Consider the following 17,695-nt stretch of genomic DNA (forward strand, 5'->3'; position numbering starts at 1 on the left):
TTCCCCTGATCTTGCTTCATTTTAATTCTTACTGGCCCCCAGACTGGAAGGTTACTGGTGTCTAATGACCACTCCGTTGGACTGCTGTTGGAGTCTGGGTTTCTGAACATTTGAATAATTACTTCCAGCAGAAGTACATGATCATGGGATACACTGTACCAGGACAGTGTACCAAATAAGAGCCCCCACTGGAGCACCAGACAAAAGATGAGAATACGATAAATAACATGAATATGAACAATAAATTCCTATTTTGATAATAGGGATGTTTGAAGGAATAGAGAGGAAAAAATAACATTCAAAACCAGGTTTTCAAAATGGTACTACACTTACATATCTGTGTCCCTCAGGTGTAGTGAGAATGTGAGTAAGAAAACTATCCAAGCAGAGTATGGTGGAGGGATTTCAAGGAAATACAATGCACACGGAAAACAGACGACAGAGCAGACAATGTCACCACATGCTCCCAAAGTAAGCAAGAATGGGAACACTTTGAAAAAGGGGAAATTTCTTCCAAATAGAAGGACCATGAAAACAGAGGAACTCTTGGATTTGCAGTCCCTATAGTCCAATGTTTTGCTGCCTAAAAGGGCCCCACATATTTACGAGGGCCTGGCTGACTTGGCTGACATTAGATACATCCTAGCACCTAATGGATTAGGAATCATTCAAGGCTCCACTTGAGGCAGCGGCTTAAGTTCATGCACCACGATGGAGGTGGTATCTCCTTATTTTTGTTCTAAACTCTGTCTTTGAATTTCAAAGGGATCCCACCACCATTTAAGTAATTTGGAATGTGTGAGGCACTCCCTGTTCACATTGTCTAAGCTGTTCATGATTTTCAAGATTTCAGACATGTCCCTCAGTAGCATCCTCACATCTAGATTAGTAGCATCCTCACATCTAGATTAGTAGCATCCTCATATCTCTCACTTTCTGTGCAGGCATCTGTGTTAACCACTCCCCTGGACTTTTTGGATATCTTTCACTGGGTATGGGGCCCAGAATATCAGATTACCAGGTGAAGACACCTCGCTGTGTTATCTGAGCAGAGGGCAATGTTCTCTATTTTGCTGGTCTTACTTCCTTTGATTATGTTTAATGTTTGTAGATCACTTTGCTATAAAACTCACAGACTTGTCTTCAGAAAAGACATACTTTTTTTTTTTTTGAGGTAATGGTATGTTTTCTTTTTTATTATTATACTTTAAGTTTTAGGGTACATGTGCACATTGTGCAGGTTAGTTACATATGTATACATGTGCCATGCTGGTGCACTGCACCCACTAACTCGTCATCTAGCATTAGGTATATCTCCCAATGCTATCCCTCCCCCCTCCCCCCACCCCACAACAGTCCCCAGACTGTGATATTCCCCTTCCTGTGTCCATGTGATCTCATTGTTCAATCCCCACCTATGAGTGAGAATATGCAGTGTTTGGTTTTTTGTTCTTGCGATAGTTTACTGAGAATGAAGTTTTCCAGTTTCATCCATGTCCCTACAAAGGGCATGAACTCATCATTTTTTATGGCTGCATAGTATTCCATGGTGTATATGTGCCACATTTTCTTAATCCAGTCTATCATTGTTGGACATTTGGGTGGGTTCCAAGTCTTTGCTATTGTGAATAATGCCGCAATAAACATACATGTGCATGTGTCTTTATAGCAGCATGATTTATAGTCCTTTGGGTATATACCCAGTAATGGGATGGCTGGGTCAAATGGTATTTCTAGTTCTAGATCTCTGAGGAATCGCCACACTGACTTCCACAATGGTTGAACTAGTTTACAGTCCCACCAACAGTGTAAAAGTGTTCCTATTTCTCCACATCCTCTCCAGCACCTGTTGTTTCCTGACTTTTTAATGATCGCCATTCTAACTGGTGTGAGATGGTATCTCATTGTGGTTTTGATTTGCATTTCTCTGATGGCCAGTGATGGTGAGCATTTTTTCATGTGTTTTTTGACTGCATAAATGTCTTCTTTTGAGAAGTGTCTGTTCATGTCCTTCGCCCACTTTTTGATGGGGTTGTTTGTTTTTTTCTTGTAAATTTGTTTGAGTTCATTGTAGATTCTGGATATTAGCCCTTTGTCAGATGAGTAGGTTGGGAAAATTTTCTCCCATTCTGTAGGTTACCTGTTCACTCTGATGGTAGTTTCTTTTGCTGTGCAGAAGCTCTTTAGTTTAATTAGATCCCATTTGTCAATTTTGGCTTTTGTTGCCATTGCTTTTGGTGTTTTAGACATGAAGTCCTTGCCCATGCCTATGTCCTGAATGGTAATGCCTAGGTTTTCTTCTAGCGTTTTTATGGTTTTAGGTCTAACGTTTAAGTCTTTAATCCATCTTGAATTGATTTTTGTATAAGGTGTAAGGAAGGGATCCAGTTTCAGCTTTCTACATATGGCTAGCCAGTTTTCCCAGCACCATTTATTAAATAGGGAATCCTTTCCCCATTGCTTGTTTTTCTCAGGTTTGTCAAAGATCAGATAGTTGTAGATATGCGGCGTTATTTCTGAGGGCTCTGTTCTGTTCCACTGATCTATATCTCTGTTTTGGTACCAGTACCATGCTGTTTTGGTTACTGTAGCCTTGTAGTATAGTTTGAAGTCAGGTAGTGTGATGCCTCCAGCTTTGTTCTTTTGGCTTAGGATTGACTTGGCGACGCGGGCTCTTTTTTGGTTCCATATGAACTTTAAAGTAGTTTTTTCCAATTCTGTGAAGAAAGGCATTGGTAGCTTGATGGGGATGGCATTGAATCTGTAAATTACCTTGGGCAGTATGGCCATTTTCACGATATTGATTCTTCCTACCCATGAGCATGGAATGTTCTTCCATTTGTTTGTATCCTCTTTTATTTCCTTGAGCAGTGGTTTGTAGTTCTCCTTGAAGAGGTCCTTCACATCCCTTGTAGTTGGATTCCTAGGTATTTTATTCTCTTTGAAGCAATTGTGAATGGGAGTTCACTCATGATTTGGCTCTCTGTTTGTCTGTTGCTGGTGTGTAAGAATGCTTGTGATTTTTGTACATTGATTTTGTATCCTGAGACTTTGCTGAAGTTGCTTATCAGCTTAAGGAGATTTTGGGCTGAGGCAATGGGGTTTTCTAGATATACAATCATGTCGTCTGCAAACAGGGACAATTTGACTTCCTCTTTTCCTAATTGAATACCCTTTATTTCCTTCTCCTGCCTAATTGCCCTGGCCAGCACTTCCAACACTATGTTGAATAGGAGTGGTGAGAGAGGGCATCCCTGTCTTGTGCCAGTTTTCAAAGGGAATGCTTCCAGTTTTTGCCCATTCAGTATGATATTGGCTGTGGGTTTGTCATAGATAGCTCTTATTATTTTGAGATACGTCCCATCAATACCTAATTTATTGAGAGTTTTTAGCATGAAGGGTTGTTGAATTTTGTCAAAGGCTTTTTCTGCATCTATTGAGATACTCATGTGGTTTTTGTCTTTGGCTCTGTTTATATGCTGGATTACATTTATTGATTTGCGTATATTGAACCAACCTTGCATCCCAGGGATGAAGCCCACTTGATCATGGTGGATAAGCTTTTTGATGTGCTGCTGGATTCGTTTTGCCAGTATTTTATTGAGAATTTTTGCATCAATGTTCATCAAGGATATTGGTCTAAAATTCTCTTTTTTTGTTATGTCTCTGCCTGGCTTTCGTATCAGAATGATGCTGGCCTCATAAAATGAGTTAGGGAGGATTCCCTCTTTGTCTATTGATTGGAATAGTTTCAGAAGGAATGGTACCAGTTCCTCCTTGTACCTCTGGTAGAATTCAGCTGTGAATCCATCTGGTCCTGGACTCTTTTTCGTTGGTAAGCTATTGATTATTGCCACAATTTCAGATCCTGTTATTGGTCTATTCAGAGATTCAACTTCTTCCTGGTTGAGTCTTGGGAGGGTGTATGTGTCGAGGAATTTATCCATTTCTTCTAGATTTTCTAGTTTATTTGCGTAGAGGTGTTTGTAGTATTCTCTGATGGTAGTTTGTATTTCTGTGGGATCGGTGGTGATATCCCCTTTATCATTTTTTATTGCATCTATTCGATTCTTCTCTCTTTTTTTCTTTATTAGTCTTGCTAGTGGTCTATCAATCTTGTTGATCCTTTCAAAAAACCAGCTCCTGGATTCGTTAATTTTTTGAAGGGTTTTTTGTGTCTCTATTTCCTTCAGTTCTGCTCTGATTTTAGTTATTTCTTGCCTACTGCTAGCTTTTTAATGTGTTTGCTCTTGCATTTCTAGTTCTTTTAATTGTGATGTTAGGGTGTCAATTTTGGATCTTTCCTGCTTTCTCTTGTGGGCATTTAGTGCTATAAATTTCCCTCTACACACTGCTTTGAATGCGTCCCAGAGATGCTGGTATGTTGTGTCTTTGTTGTTGTTGGTTTCAAAGAACATCTTTATTTCTGCCTTCATTTCGTTATGTATCCAGTAGTCATTCAGGAGCAGGTTGTTCAGTTTCCATGTAGTTGAGCGGTTTTGAGTGAGATTCTTAACCCTGAGTTCTAGTTTGATTGCACTGTGGTCTGAGAGACAGTTTGTTATAATTTCTGTTCTTTTACATTTGCTGAGGAGAGCTTTACTTCCAAGTATGTGGTCAATTTTGGAATAGGTGTGGTGTGGTGCTGAAAAAAATGTATATTCTGTTGATTTGGGGTGGAGAGTTCTGTAGATGTCTATTAGGTCTGCTTGGTGCAGAGCTGAGTTCAATTCCTGGGTATCCTTGTTGACTTTCTGTCTCGTTGATCTGTCTAATGTTGACAGTGGGGTGTTAAAGTCTCCCATTATTAATGTGTGGGAGTCTAAGTCTCTTTGTAGGTCACTCAGGACTTGCTTTATGAATCTGGGTGCTCCTGTATTGGGTGCATATATATTTAGGATAGTTAGCTCTTCTTGTTGAATTGATCCCTTTACCATTAAGTAATGGCCTTCTTTGTCTCTTTTGATCTTTGTTGGTTTAAAGTCCGTTTTATCAGAGACTAGGATTGCAACCCCTGCCTTTTTTTGTTTTCCATTTGCTTGGTAGATCTTCCTCCATCCTTTTATTTTGAGCCTATGTGTGTCTCTGCATGTGAGATGGGTTTCCTGAATACAGCACACTGATGGGTCTTGACTCTTTATCCAATTTGCCAGTCTGTGTCTTTTAATTGGAGCATTTAGTCCATTTACATTTAAAGTTAATATTGTTATGTGTGAATTTGATCCTGTCATTATGATGTTAGCTGGTTATTTTGCTCGTTAGTTGCAGTTTCTTCCTAGTCTCGATGGTCTTTACATTTTGGCATGATTTTGCAGCGGCTGGTACCGGTTGTTCCTTTCCATGTTTAGCGCTTCCTTCAGGAGCTCTTTTAGGGCAGGCCTGGTGGTGACAAAATCTCTCAGCATTTGCTTGTCTGTAAAGTATTTTATTTCTCCTTTGCTTATGAAGGTTAGTTTGGCTGGATATGAAATTCTGGGTTGAAAATTCTTTTCTTTAAGAATGTTGAATATTGGCCCCCACTCTCTTCTGGCTTGTAGGGTTTCTGCCGAGAGATCCGCTGTTAGTCTGATGGGCTTCCCTTTGAGGGTAACCCGCCCTTTCTCTCTGGCTGCCCTTAAGATTTTTTCCTTCATTTCAACTTTGGTGAATCTGACAATTATGTGTGGTGAATCTGACAATTATGTGTCTTGGAGTTGCTCTTCTCGAGGAGTATCTTTGTGGCGTTCTCTGTATTTCCTGAATCTGAACGTTGGCCTGCCTTGCTAGATTGGGGAAGTTCTCCTGGATAATATCCTGCAGAGTGTTTTCCAACTTGGTTCCATTCTCCCCATCACTTTCAGGTACACCAATCAGATGTAGATTTGGTCTTTTCACACAGTCCCATATTTCTTGGAGGCTTTGCTTCTTTCTTTTTATTCTTTTTTCTCTAAACTTCCCTTCTCGCTTCATTTCATTCATTTCATCTTCCATTGCTGATGCCCTTTCTTCCAGTTGATCGCATCAGCTCCTGAGGCTTCTGCATTCTTCACGTAGTTCTCGAGCCTTGGTTTTCAGCTCCATCAGCTCCTTTAAGCACTTCTCTGTATTGGTTATTCCTGTTATACATTCTTCTAAAGTTTTTTCAAAGTTTTCAACTTCTTTGCCTTTGGTTTGAATGTCCTCCTGTAGCTCAGAGTAATTTGATCGTCTGAAGCCTTCTTCTCTCAGCTCCTCAAAGTCATTCTCCATCTAGCTTTGTTCCGTTGCTGGTGAGGAACTGCGTTCCTTTGGAGGAGGAGAGGCGCTCTGCTTTTTTAGAGTTTCCAGTTTTTCTGTTCTGTTTTTTTCCCCATCTTTGTGGTTTTATCTACTTTTGGTCTTTGATGATGGTGATGTACAGATGGGTTTTTGGTGTGGATGTCCTTTCTGTTTGTTAGTTTTCCTTCTGACAGACAGGACCCTCAGCTGCAGGTCTGTTGGAATACCCTGCAGTGTGAGGTGTCAGTGTGCCCCTGCTGGGGGGTGCCTCCCAGTTATGCTGCTCGGGGGTCAGGGGTCAGGGACCCACTTGAGGAGGCAGTCTGCCCGTTCTCAGATCTCCAGCTGCATGCTGGGAGAACCACTGCTCTCTTCAAAGCTGTCAGACAGGGACATTTAAGTCTGCAGAGGTTACTGCTGTCTTTTTGTTTGTCTGTGCACTGCCCCCAGAGGTGGAGCCTACAGAGGCAGGCAGGCCTCCCTGAGCTGTGGTGGGCTCCACCCAGTTGGAGCTTCCGGGCTGCTTTGTTTACCTAATCAAGCCTGGGCAGTGGCGGGCGCCCCTCCCCCAGCCTTGCTGTGGCCTTGCAGTTTGATCTCAGACTGCTGTGCTAGCAATCAGCGAGAATCCGTGGGTGTAGGACCCTCCAAGCCAGGTGCGGGATATAATCTGGTGCGCCGTTTTTTAAGCCTGTCGGAAAAGCGCAGTATTCCGGTGGGAGTGACCCGATTTTCCAGGTGCCGTCCGTCACCCCTTTCTTTGACTCAGAAAGGGAACTCCCTGACCCCTTGCGCTTCCCAAGTGAGGCAATGCCTCGCCCTACTTCGGCTGGCGCACGGTGCGTGCACCCACTGACCTGCGCCCACTGTCTGGCACTCCCTAGTGAGATGAACCCGGTACCTCAGATGGAAATGCAGAAATCACCGTCTTCTGTGTCACTCAGGCTGGGAGCTGTAGACTGGAGCTGTTCCTATTCGGCCATCTTGGCTCCTCCCAGAAAAGACATTCTTAAGGGGTAAGGGGTAACAGCTCAAATGAAATGATTCATGACATCAGGGACTGGCATTTATAGAAGGGCAGGCAGGAAACCAGCTGGATGAATAGAGTTGGGGTCTGCGGGAAAGCTCTGCTCCAACTGGGAAACACATATACATTTTTAGCTTGAGTGATCCTGAGACATGCAACCCCTAGGTGTCCCTGTGGCAGAACCAAGCCAACCATTAAAGAACCCAAGTTAATAACTAGCCCAGTCTCTGTCTATATGTATAACTGAAGCACCAGCTCTCCCTTTAAGACTAACAAATCATATCTACTGTCGTGGAACCCACAGAAGTATACTATGGCCTTCTCATGGAAGAGGGAATATGCAGTGAAGTGTTGAGACCTTCTCTCACTTTTCATACTTAAGGCATTTTAAGGGTTCAAGAGACACTTTTAGAAAAATCTCTGTTTTATAGTTTACATAATTACCTTTCTAGGTTAGGGGTATTTGACTTAGGTTATAGGGCTTCAGAAAATCTGTGACCCCTTTGAACCTGTATTTGGACAATGGATGTGTGTCTATTTTGGGGGAGACAGTTCAAGCTTTTATCAGATTCTCACACATATCTGAGATACAGGAAAGGGTAAGAGGCACTGTTCTGGACCATTTCCCTAAACTGCCTTGAGACAATCCTTGGTTCAATCCAACTTTCTGAAGTTTGAGAATTTTTTTTTTTGAGATGGAGTTTCACTTTTGTTGCCTGGACTGGAGTGCAATGGCACAATCTCGGCTCACTGCAACCTCTGCCTCCCGGGTTCAAGCGATTCTCCTGTCTCAGCCTCCCGAGTAGCTGGGATTACAGGCATGTGCCACCACGCCCGGCTAATTTTATATTTTTAGTAGAGACGGAGTTTCTCCTTGTTGGTCAGGCTGGTCTTGAACTCCCGACCTCAGGTGATCCGCCTGCCTCAGCCTCCCAAAGTGCTGAGATTACAGGCATGAGCCACCGCCCCTGGCCAAGAAATTTAAGGATGCGGATTTGGATGCCTTCTGAGAATTGTCATTTATCCTTAGACCCTGACCCTCTCCTTACTCCTCAAATAAAAATTAAAAAATCAACCTAGGTTGCAAAATATGAGATTAAAAAAATTAACTGTATAGTTTTAGATAACATAGGACAACAGAATCAAGAAAGCATCCAAATTAAATTAATGGGCTTAAAGGAAGGAGAGGGCTCTTATTGAGCAAGAATGGCAAAAATTCAGATAATATAAAAAGTTCAATATGCAAATGATATCCATAAAAGAAGAAAGTAAAAGATGAACAGTGACAGGGAGAAAGCCAAAGTTTAAGAGGGGAAGAAACCATTGACGCCTCTGGGCCAGTTTCCTCATTTATATCCACAAATAGGAGACCATTAGAGCACCCAGAACAGTGCACAGGGTAAGGCCTCAGGAAATAATTACTAGTAGTAGTAGCAGGAGGAGTATATTAAGGTAACCAGGATGTTGAGGAAAAAAAATCAGAAATAAAAAATTTAGCAAGGAAGGTTAAGATACATTTTCTATAAAATCTGAGACTAGAGCTTGCAAACATTATGCTAAGTGAAGGAAGCCAATCACAAAGGTCCACATACTGTAGGATTCCATTCATAGGAAATGTCCAGAACAGGCAAATCCATAGAGGCTGAAGATAGATTAGTGGCTGCCTAGGCTGGGGGTGGGGGACAGAGAAGGGACAGCTGGAGAGTGAAGGCTGCAGTGTATGAGGTTTCTTTTTGGGTGATGAAAATGTTCTAAAATCAACTGTGGTGATGACTATACAACCGTGAAAATACAAAATACCATGAAATTGTACACTTTAAATGGTGAATTGTATGGTATGGTATGTGAATTTTTATATCTTGATAAAGCTGTTCAAAAAATCTGAGACTGGAAGACCCTTTAGTTAAGAAAAATCTGAAGTATCCTATAGATTTCTCTAAGGAAACCCTCCATCTTGCATAAATTCTATTATGTAGGTATTTCCTTTGCCTTGCCACATCTTCGTCTAACGGAGTGATTTTTCAGATACATATAAGGCATGTCTTAAAAACAGCTGACATAGGTATATTTTGATAAATGAATTCAACATTGAAGTCACAGATTTTTAGCAGATAAACCAGTGTTTAGAAAAATATTGGAGCCATTTATTACCTCCATCTCTCATGCCTATTCTCCCATCACCTACCAGCTACATAATGCAAAGAGCAAGCCTTTGGAAGCGGTGAATTGTAAGGAAGGGGCCGCCTTATTTTCTAGGATGGTGCATATTTTCCCTTCATCTCCCAATTTCTGCTTTACTGACTCTTCCCAGATGTAAGTCCTTAAATGCCTATAAATTCTATTTTACAACTTTTCTGCTGCTCCTACGTGCCAGCATTTCATATAAGTTATATTAGCCATTTTCCCTCGGAGCCCTAAAAGACTTTGAACCTCACTACTTATTCCAACTTTCTATTTATAATAGCATCGCTAGAGGTGAAGCAATGATGAAATAATGAGTAGAAAACATTTCATTTTCTTCTTGTAATCTGACTTCAATCTTCACAAACAGATTATACATTTTCATAAGTGGCACATCTAAGAATTAAACTTTTTTTTTTAGTATCCAAACTAAAAGCTTCAAAAGCATATTATTTCTCTTTCGTGTTTTACAAGCACCAACATAACCTTCTTCTCACATATCCATCACAGTGTAAATCTATCCCTCTAACTCTGTAATGATGGATTGCAAAGAAACCGCTTTATCCCAAACAATCTCACAGCGTTCCTATCTCTTCAAGAAAGGAGGCGGGCAGTGGTGAGGCACGCCACAGAAACATACATTCCATGAAGAATGAGGAGGACGGCAAAGCCTGAAGACCTGACAGGGGTGTTTTCTTATCTTCCCCCAAATCTGCTGCACCTGTCAAAAAAAGTGAGGCAAAGAATTGAGGGAGAGCCACAAATAATTGAAGAGAAAAATCAGTGTTTTCCTTTCTGGGTTGCAAAATAAGGTTTACCAATCTGAATTATCTTGATGGTAGTTTTAAAGAAATTTGTCTCACAAGTGTGTACAGCCACATGAGGACTGATTAACCTTCACAACCATTCGTGAAAGGAGGGAAAGGTTTCTGACAATTTTGGATTAAAAGATTCCTCCTAAGGAATTGGTAACATAATGACTCAGTAAACTGAAGACTCAAATGCAGAGGAAGAGTAACTAAATGAGAAGAAAAAAAGAAAGGCTATGTAAAGTCACTTGAAAATGAAGAATGATTTTTCTGGCTTCTGATAGGGTGCTGTAGCCAAAAGCTTTGCTTTCCAACTAGAGTACAAAGAGACACAGGAAAGAAGTGCCACTCTACTCTTCCAGCACTTGATCTGGCACAGCTCAGGGTGTTTTTTAAAACAGACTTTATTTTTTAGAGCAGTTTTTGGTTCACAGCAAAATTGAATGGAAAGCACAGAGGGTTCTCATATATCCCTGTCTCCCCCTGTCCCCTACAGTCCCCTCTACTGTCAACAGCCCACACCACAGTGGTACATGTGTCACTAGTGATGAACCTACCTTGACACATCATCACCAAAGCTCATGCCTTACATTAGAGTTAACTCTTGTGTTGAACGTTCTATGGGTTTTGATATAATGACATGAATCCACCATTATAGTGCAGACTAGTTTCACTGCCCTAAAAATCCTCTGTGCTCCACCTTTTCATCCTTCCCTCCTTGCTAACTCTCTGATTTAATAGACGAATCTGGTGTCAAGAGGAAATAAGGGCTTTACTCATAATTTTTTTTTCCATCTTCCCCCTTCTGAAGCACATGTAGTTTCTTGGAAAGGCTTATCGGCAAAGAAACCCTCAGCTCTATGTGTGCATAGGTTCATGCCAATGAGCAAATGCAAGAAAGTACTTTAGAGCCAGGAAGGAAGCCAGGTGCAATGGTCTGAATGTTTGTGTCCTCCAAAATTCATATTTTGAAATCCTAACCCTCAAGGTGATGGTATTAGGAAGTGGGGCCTTTGGGAGGTGATTAGGTCAGGAGGATGGAGCACCCATGACTGAGATTTGTGCCCTTACAAAAGAGACTCCAGAGAACTAGCTCTTCCCGTCTACCATGTGAGGACATAGACAGAAGTTGGCAGTCTGCAACCAGGAGGAGGACCCTCACTAGAACCCAACTATGTCGGCACCCTGACCTTGGACTTCCCAGCCTCCAGGACTGTGAGAAATACATTTCTGTTGTTTATAAGCCATTCAGTTTACAGTATTTCATTTATAGTAGCCAGAATGGACTGGGCCACTAGGTGTGGTGGAAAGAACGTGGGCTTTGGAGATAGACCTGGATTCTTCTTTAATTTTTTTTTTTTTTTTGAGATGGAGTCTCACTCTGTTGCCCAGGCTGGACTGCAGTGGCATGATCTCAACTCACTGCAACCTCTGCTTCCTGTGTTCAAGTGATTCTCCTGGCTTAGCCTCTCAAATAGCTGGGATTACAGGAGCCTGCCACCACGCCCAGCTAATTTTTGTGTTTTCAGTAGAGACAGGGTTTCACCATGTTGGTCAGGCTGGTCTCGAACTTCTGATCTTAGTCACGTGATCCACCCGCCTCAGGCTTCCAAAGTGCTGGGATAACAGGCATGAGCCACCGTGCCTGGACCACCTGCATTATTCTTTTGCCTTCTCCACTTACTAGCCCTGAGGCTGAAAGTATTTAAGATCAATGAAGAGTGACTTAGGTCTGAGTTGCAGCTTCCTTATCTACAGAATACGATAATATCTGCTATGAGAAGGATACCTGAGACATTGAAATAAGATGATTATATAAAGTGTATACAAGCACAACATAACTTTCTTCTCACATATCCATCACAGTGCAAATCTAACCCCTTAACTCTGTAAAACTAGATTGCAAAGAATATTGCATGTAATATTTTTCCTTTGCCTCAGAAATGGGTAAACAAAATTTAAGAAGAAAAAACTCTGGGGTGTGAACATCTTGATAAACATAGATGGACTCACGTTAATTAATGCCACTGGACTGGAATCAAGATCTGTGCCTATTCTGGAAAGTAAAATTCTTTGCACAAACAGGCATAGCAGGTCTCATTCAGTGAATAAACAACCACCGATCTCCCTGTGCCTAACTGAAGATACTTCTCTCTGCTCACTCGTTTACAACTGATTGTTAGGCAGTGTGAGGGATTAGCTATAATCATGTATTGTTCTCAATATTTCACACATTAGTCATTTAAAACTATGTATTCTTTCTTTGGAGTTAAAAGTCAGTTGTTGACACTTAAAACTGAAGATGCTTGTGGAGGGCTGGCAGGAGCCCTCAGCAGGGAGCGTTATGCATATTCTATAACTCTGCTTCTGAAATCTGCACCAGGGCTTCTGCAATTTATGTCTCCCTTCAGCTCAACCAGGTGCCTTGTACCCAACACAGGGCAATTCCTGAGAGTTAATTGTGCCTTGTTATTTCAGCAGGACTTAGGATGAAGGTGATTACCAGCTGTAGTTATTCAGTGACATTTCAATTCTCCTCTCTCAGACTCCCCCTTACAAAGCTTTTCTGCCAGCAGCCCAAGACACCTTGACTTCCACCACCCCAACACCCATGGAATAACTTCTAATTGTCTGCCTTTCAAAGAAGTGAACTCCATAGCTGTCAACATTTGCTGTACTAATTGTTTGTACATTTGGAGTTAGCTGAAAGGGTCCGGAATCTTTCAAGATGATCTGTCTCTTCTGTTAACTTCCTCTTATTCTTGGTCCACATGTGCTTAAGGAAAACCTGGCTGGATTTCCTCCCTATTTGAGAACACCTAGGGATGAATCAGTGAAGACCACGGTTTTCTCCCTGGCCCCAACAGGCTATTCCTTTGAAGGCGTTTGTTAATTCTGGGTAGTGAATACACACCTGTTTGTTATAGTATTCTTTGTCCTCTTCTGTATTTTTAAAAACATAGATTAAAATGAACATGTTATATGAAGCAATTATTGGTGTTTTGCATCTTTGTGTTTCTGCTCACAGAAGTCCTTGGAAAGATGAAGAGGGCTGCTATCAAGGTGGACAGAGGTCCTCTTGAGAATGTGGGTTCTCATTTGTATCCAACCCAAGTTCACAGCAAGGATCAGAACAATTGAAAATAACAGAATCTGGTTATGGAATTCTTTTTATACACAGAACTGGATTTTCCCTCCAAATTAATCCTTTACCAGCAGTGGATGGGCTAAAAACACAGACACTGAGCAGTTAGCTCACTTCCATCTGGCACGGTCATGTGAACACTTCGGTTGGTGGTTTGCTTTTTTAATGAAGTGATTTTTAATGAAGCAAGCTGTGAATTTAATAGATACCTTCAAACAGCTTCTTTGTATTTAAGCTTTAAGTAACAAAGCAGCTGTCAAATTTGCCACCAAAACAAGAGACAAATTCAAGACTGGACGACTGCAGGATCAAGGATTGTTGGGGTGTGGTCATCAGACAATGTCATCTCCACTGCTGGCACAAAGTATGGTTCCACGAGTCCACGTGGAGGCAGGTGGCCTGAGGGATGGTCTGCTCAGCGACCTTGTCAGAGGTCAAGAAAGTGCTTGGCTGACACTACAGCATACTCAGGCACAAGATGTTATAATTGTATTCTCACCACTGTCCATGCTGGTACACTGTCTTTTAGAGGTTCATTTACCTTGTGATTTTGAATCAGTCATTTCAGCTCACTTATAATGTGGGCACAATAGGAAGGAGATCAGTAGGTTCGGTCTATAATACTCTGAAAGGAAGATGAGGTGTTGGTAGAAAGAAATGCACAGTGTATTAGAGAACTCTTTTAAAGGTGAGAGAAGTCACCCAGTCCTGGAACCTCAACTGTAAATGCAGGAAGGAATGCAAGATGGTGGAGGGCTAGGTGTGTACAAGCAAAAGGCAAGGCCTGGGGAAATAGAGAGAGCATGTCCCACCCAAAGGCATTCAAATTCCTCAATAAAAGTATTGATCCAACACAATGCACTTATGACATGCTATGATACTAGTCCAACTACCTTACTCACTAGGCTGCGTTCATGGGTTAGAATGAACAAAGGGGCTTGTCTGCCTTCATATAAAGAATGGAGTGGTGGTCCTCATGCCTATAAATCTTCTTGAATCACTTTATATTGCTGATCAAAGTGAATGCTCTGAAACCAAAACTCATAGTTTTACTTCAATGAATATTAAAAATCAAAACCAAACCAAATCCATTATAATAACAGTCCAGCAATGTCTCCACCTAAGTCTCGTGTGTGTATATATATATAAAATCTCTATATAATCTATCTGTATATATTAGCAGCTAAGTGAATTCTTGAATCTATTAAATAGCAAGTGCCAAGGTACAAAGTGGTTTCTTCATAGCAGTTCAACTCTGCTCCCTATGGTACACCTGGAGATTACACTGAATCCTGGGCACACTTTATTTTATTTATTTATTTATTATTATACTTTTAAGTTTCAGGGTACATGTGCACAATGGGCAGGTTAGTTACATATGTATACATGTGCCATGCTGGTGCGCCGCACCTACTAACTCGTCATCTAGCATTAGGTATATCTCCCAATGCTATCCCTCCCCCCTCCCCCCACCCCACAACAGTCCCCAGACTGTGATGTTCCCCTCCCTGTGTCCATGTGTTCACATTGTTCAATTCCCACCTATGAGTGAGAATATGCAGTGTTTGGTTTTTTGTTCTTGCGATAGTTTACTGAGAATGATGATTTCCAATTTCATCCACGTCCCTACAAAGGACATGAACTCATCATTTTTTATGGCTGCATAGTATTCCATGGTGTATATGTGCCACATTTTCTTAATCCAGTCTATCATTGTTGGACATTTGGGTTGGTTCCAAGTCTTTGCTATTGTGAATAATGCCGCAATAAACATACGTGGGCATGTGTCTTTATAGCAGCATGATTTATAGTCCTTTGGGTATATACCCAGTAATGGGATGGCTGGGTCAAATGGTATTTCTAGTTCTAGATCTCTGAGGAATCGCCACACTGACTTCCACAATGGTTGAACTAGTTTACAGTCCCACCAACAGTGTAAAAGTGTTCCTATTTCTCCACATCCTCTCCAGCACCTGTTGTTTCCTGACTTTTTAATGATTGCCATTCTAACTGGTGTGAGATGGTATCTCATTGTGGCTTTGATTTGTGTTTCTCTGATGGCCAGTGATGGTGAGCATTTTTTCATGTGTTTTTTGGCTGCATGAATGTCTTCTTTTGAGAAGTGTCTGTTCATGTCCTTCGCCCACTTTTTGATGGGGTTGTTTGTTTTTTTCTTGTAAATTTGTTTGAGTTCATTGTAGATTCTGGATATTAGCCCTTTGTCAGATGAGTAGGTTGGGAAAATTTTCTCCCATTCTGTAGGTTGCCTGTTCACTCTGATGGTAGTTTCTTTTGCTGTGCAGAAGCTCTTTAGTTCAATTAGATCCCATTTGTCAATTTTGGCTTTTGTTGCCATTGCTTTTGGTGTTTTAGACATGAAGTCCTTGCCCATGCCTATGTCCTGAATGGTAATGCCTAGGTTTTCTTCTAGGGTTTTTATGGTTTTAGGTCTAACGTTTAAGTCTTTAATCCATCTTGAATTGATTTTTGTATAAGGTGTAAGGAAGGGATCCAGTTTCAGCTTTCTACATATGGCTAGCCAGTTTTCCCAGCACCATTTATTAAATAGGGAATCCTTTCCCCATTGCTTGTTTTTCTCAGGTTTGTCAAAGATCAGATAGTTGTAGATATGCGGCGTTATTTCTGAGGGCTCTGTTCTGTTCCATTGATCTATATCTCTGTTTTGGTACCAGTACCATGCTGTTTTGGTTACTGTAGCCTTGTAGTATAGTTTGAAGTCAGGTAGTGTGATGCCTCCAGCTTTGTTCTTTTGGCTTAGGATTGACTTGGTGATGTGGGCTCTTTTTTGGTTCCATATGAACTTTAAAGTAGTTTTTTCCAATTCTGTGAAGAAAGGCATTGGTAGCTTGATGGGGATGGCATTGAATCTGTAAATTACCTTGGGCAGTATGGCCATTTTCACGATATTGATTCTTCCTACCCATGAGCATGGAATGTTCTTCCATTTGTTTGTATCCTCTTTTATTTCCTTGAGCAGTGGTTTGTAGTTCTCCTAGAAGAGGTCCTTCACATCCCTTATAAGTTGGATTCCTAGGTATTTTATTCTCTTTGAAGCAATTGTGAATGGGAGTTCACTCATGATTTGGCTCTCTGTTTGTCTGTTGTTAGTGTATAATAATGCTTGTGATTTTTGTACATTGATTTTGTATCCTGAGACTTTGCTGAAGTTGCTTATCAGCTTAAGGAGATTTTGGGCTGAGGCAATGGGGTTTTCTAGATATACAATCATGTCGTCTGCAAACAGGGACAATTTGACTTCCTCTTTTCCTAATTGAATACCCTTTATTTCCTTCTCCTGCCTAATTGCCCTGGCCAGAACTTTCAACACTATGTTGAATAGAAGTGGTGAGAGAGGGCATCCCTGTCTTGTGCCAGTTTTCAAAAGGAATGCTTCCAGTTTCTGCCCATTCAGTATGATATTGGCTGTGGGTTTGTCATAGATAGCGCTTATTATTTTGAGATACGTCCCATCAATACCTAATTTATTGAGAGTTTTTAGCATGAAGGGTTGTTGAATTTTGTCAAAGGCCTTTTCTGCATCTATTGAGATAATCATGTGGTTTTTGTCTTTGGTTCTGTTTATATGCTGGATTACATTTATTGATTTGCATATATTGAACCAGCCTTGCATCCCAGGGATGAAGCCCACTTGATCATGGTGGATAAGCTTTTTGATGTGCTGCTGGATTCGGTTTGCCAGTATTTTATTGAGGATTTTTGCATCAATGTTCATCAAGGATATTGGTCTAAAATTCTCTTTTTTGGTTGTGTCTCTGTCAGGCTTTGGTATCAGGATGATGCTGACCTCATAAAATGAGTTAGGGAGGATTCCCTCTTTGTCTATTGATTGGAATAGTTTCAGAAGGAATGGTACCCAGTTCCTCCTTGTACCTCTGGTAGAATTCGGCTGTGAATCCATCTGGTCCTGGACTCTTTTTCGTTGGTAAGCTATTGATTATTGCCACAATTTCAGCTCCTGTCATTTGTCTATGCAGAGATTCAACTTCTTCCTGGTTCAGTCTTGGGAGAGTGTATGTGTCCAGGAATTTATCAATTTCTTCTAGATTTTCTAGTTTATTTGCGTAGAGGTGTTTGTAGTATTCTCTCATGGTAGTTTGTATTTCTGTGGGATCAGTGGTGATATCCCCTTTATCATTTTTTATTGTGTCTATTTGATTCTTCTCTCTTTTTTTCTTTATTAGTCTTGCTAGTGGTCTATCAATCTTGTTGATCCTTTCAAAAAACCAGCTCCTGGATTCGTTAATTTTTTGAAAG

The 17,695-nt window shown here is 41.1% G+C and overlaps 1 protein-coding gene across 2 annotated transcripts in view, besides 1 other annotated feature; it reads right to left on the reverse strand.

The window, feature by feature from the left end:
* Positions 1-17,695, reverse strand: part of MARCHF3 (membrane associated ring-CH-type finger 3) — a 162,845-nt gene that overhangs the window by 21,387 nt on the left and 123,763 nt on the right. Inside the window, exon 4 of one of the 2 annotated variants that reach the window (XM_011543131.4) lies at positions 10,086-10,166. The exons of the other annotated variant lie outside the window; for it this stretch is intronic. Within the exon in view, the coding sequence (XP_011541433.1) occupies positions 10,086-10,166 (81 nt within the window). The remainder of the gene's footprint in view (positions 1-10,085; positions 10,167-17,695) is intronic. 2 annotated transcript variants of the gene reach the window in all.
* Positions 6,363-6,972: an enhancer, noted in NCBI's record as "OCT4-NANOG-H3K27ac-H3K4me1 hESC enhancer chr5:126231155-126231764 (GRCh37/hg19 assembly coordinates)". NCBI's record gives its function as "activates a minimal SCP1, AML or CMV promoter by ChIP-STARR-seq in naive H9 embryonic stem cells {active_cell/tissue: H9 hESC(naive)}" and the evidence as "EXISTENCE:reporter gene assay evidence [ECO:0000049][PMID:30033119]".

Source organism: Homo sapiens, chromosome 5 (assembly GCF_000001405.40).
Source record: "Homo sapiens chromosome 5, GRCh38.p14 Primary Assembly".
Taxonomy (NCBI): domain Eukaryota; kingdom Metazoa; phylum Chordata; class Mammalia; order Primates; family Hominidae; genus Homo; species Homo sapiens.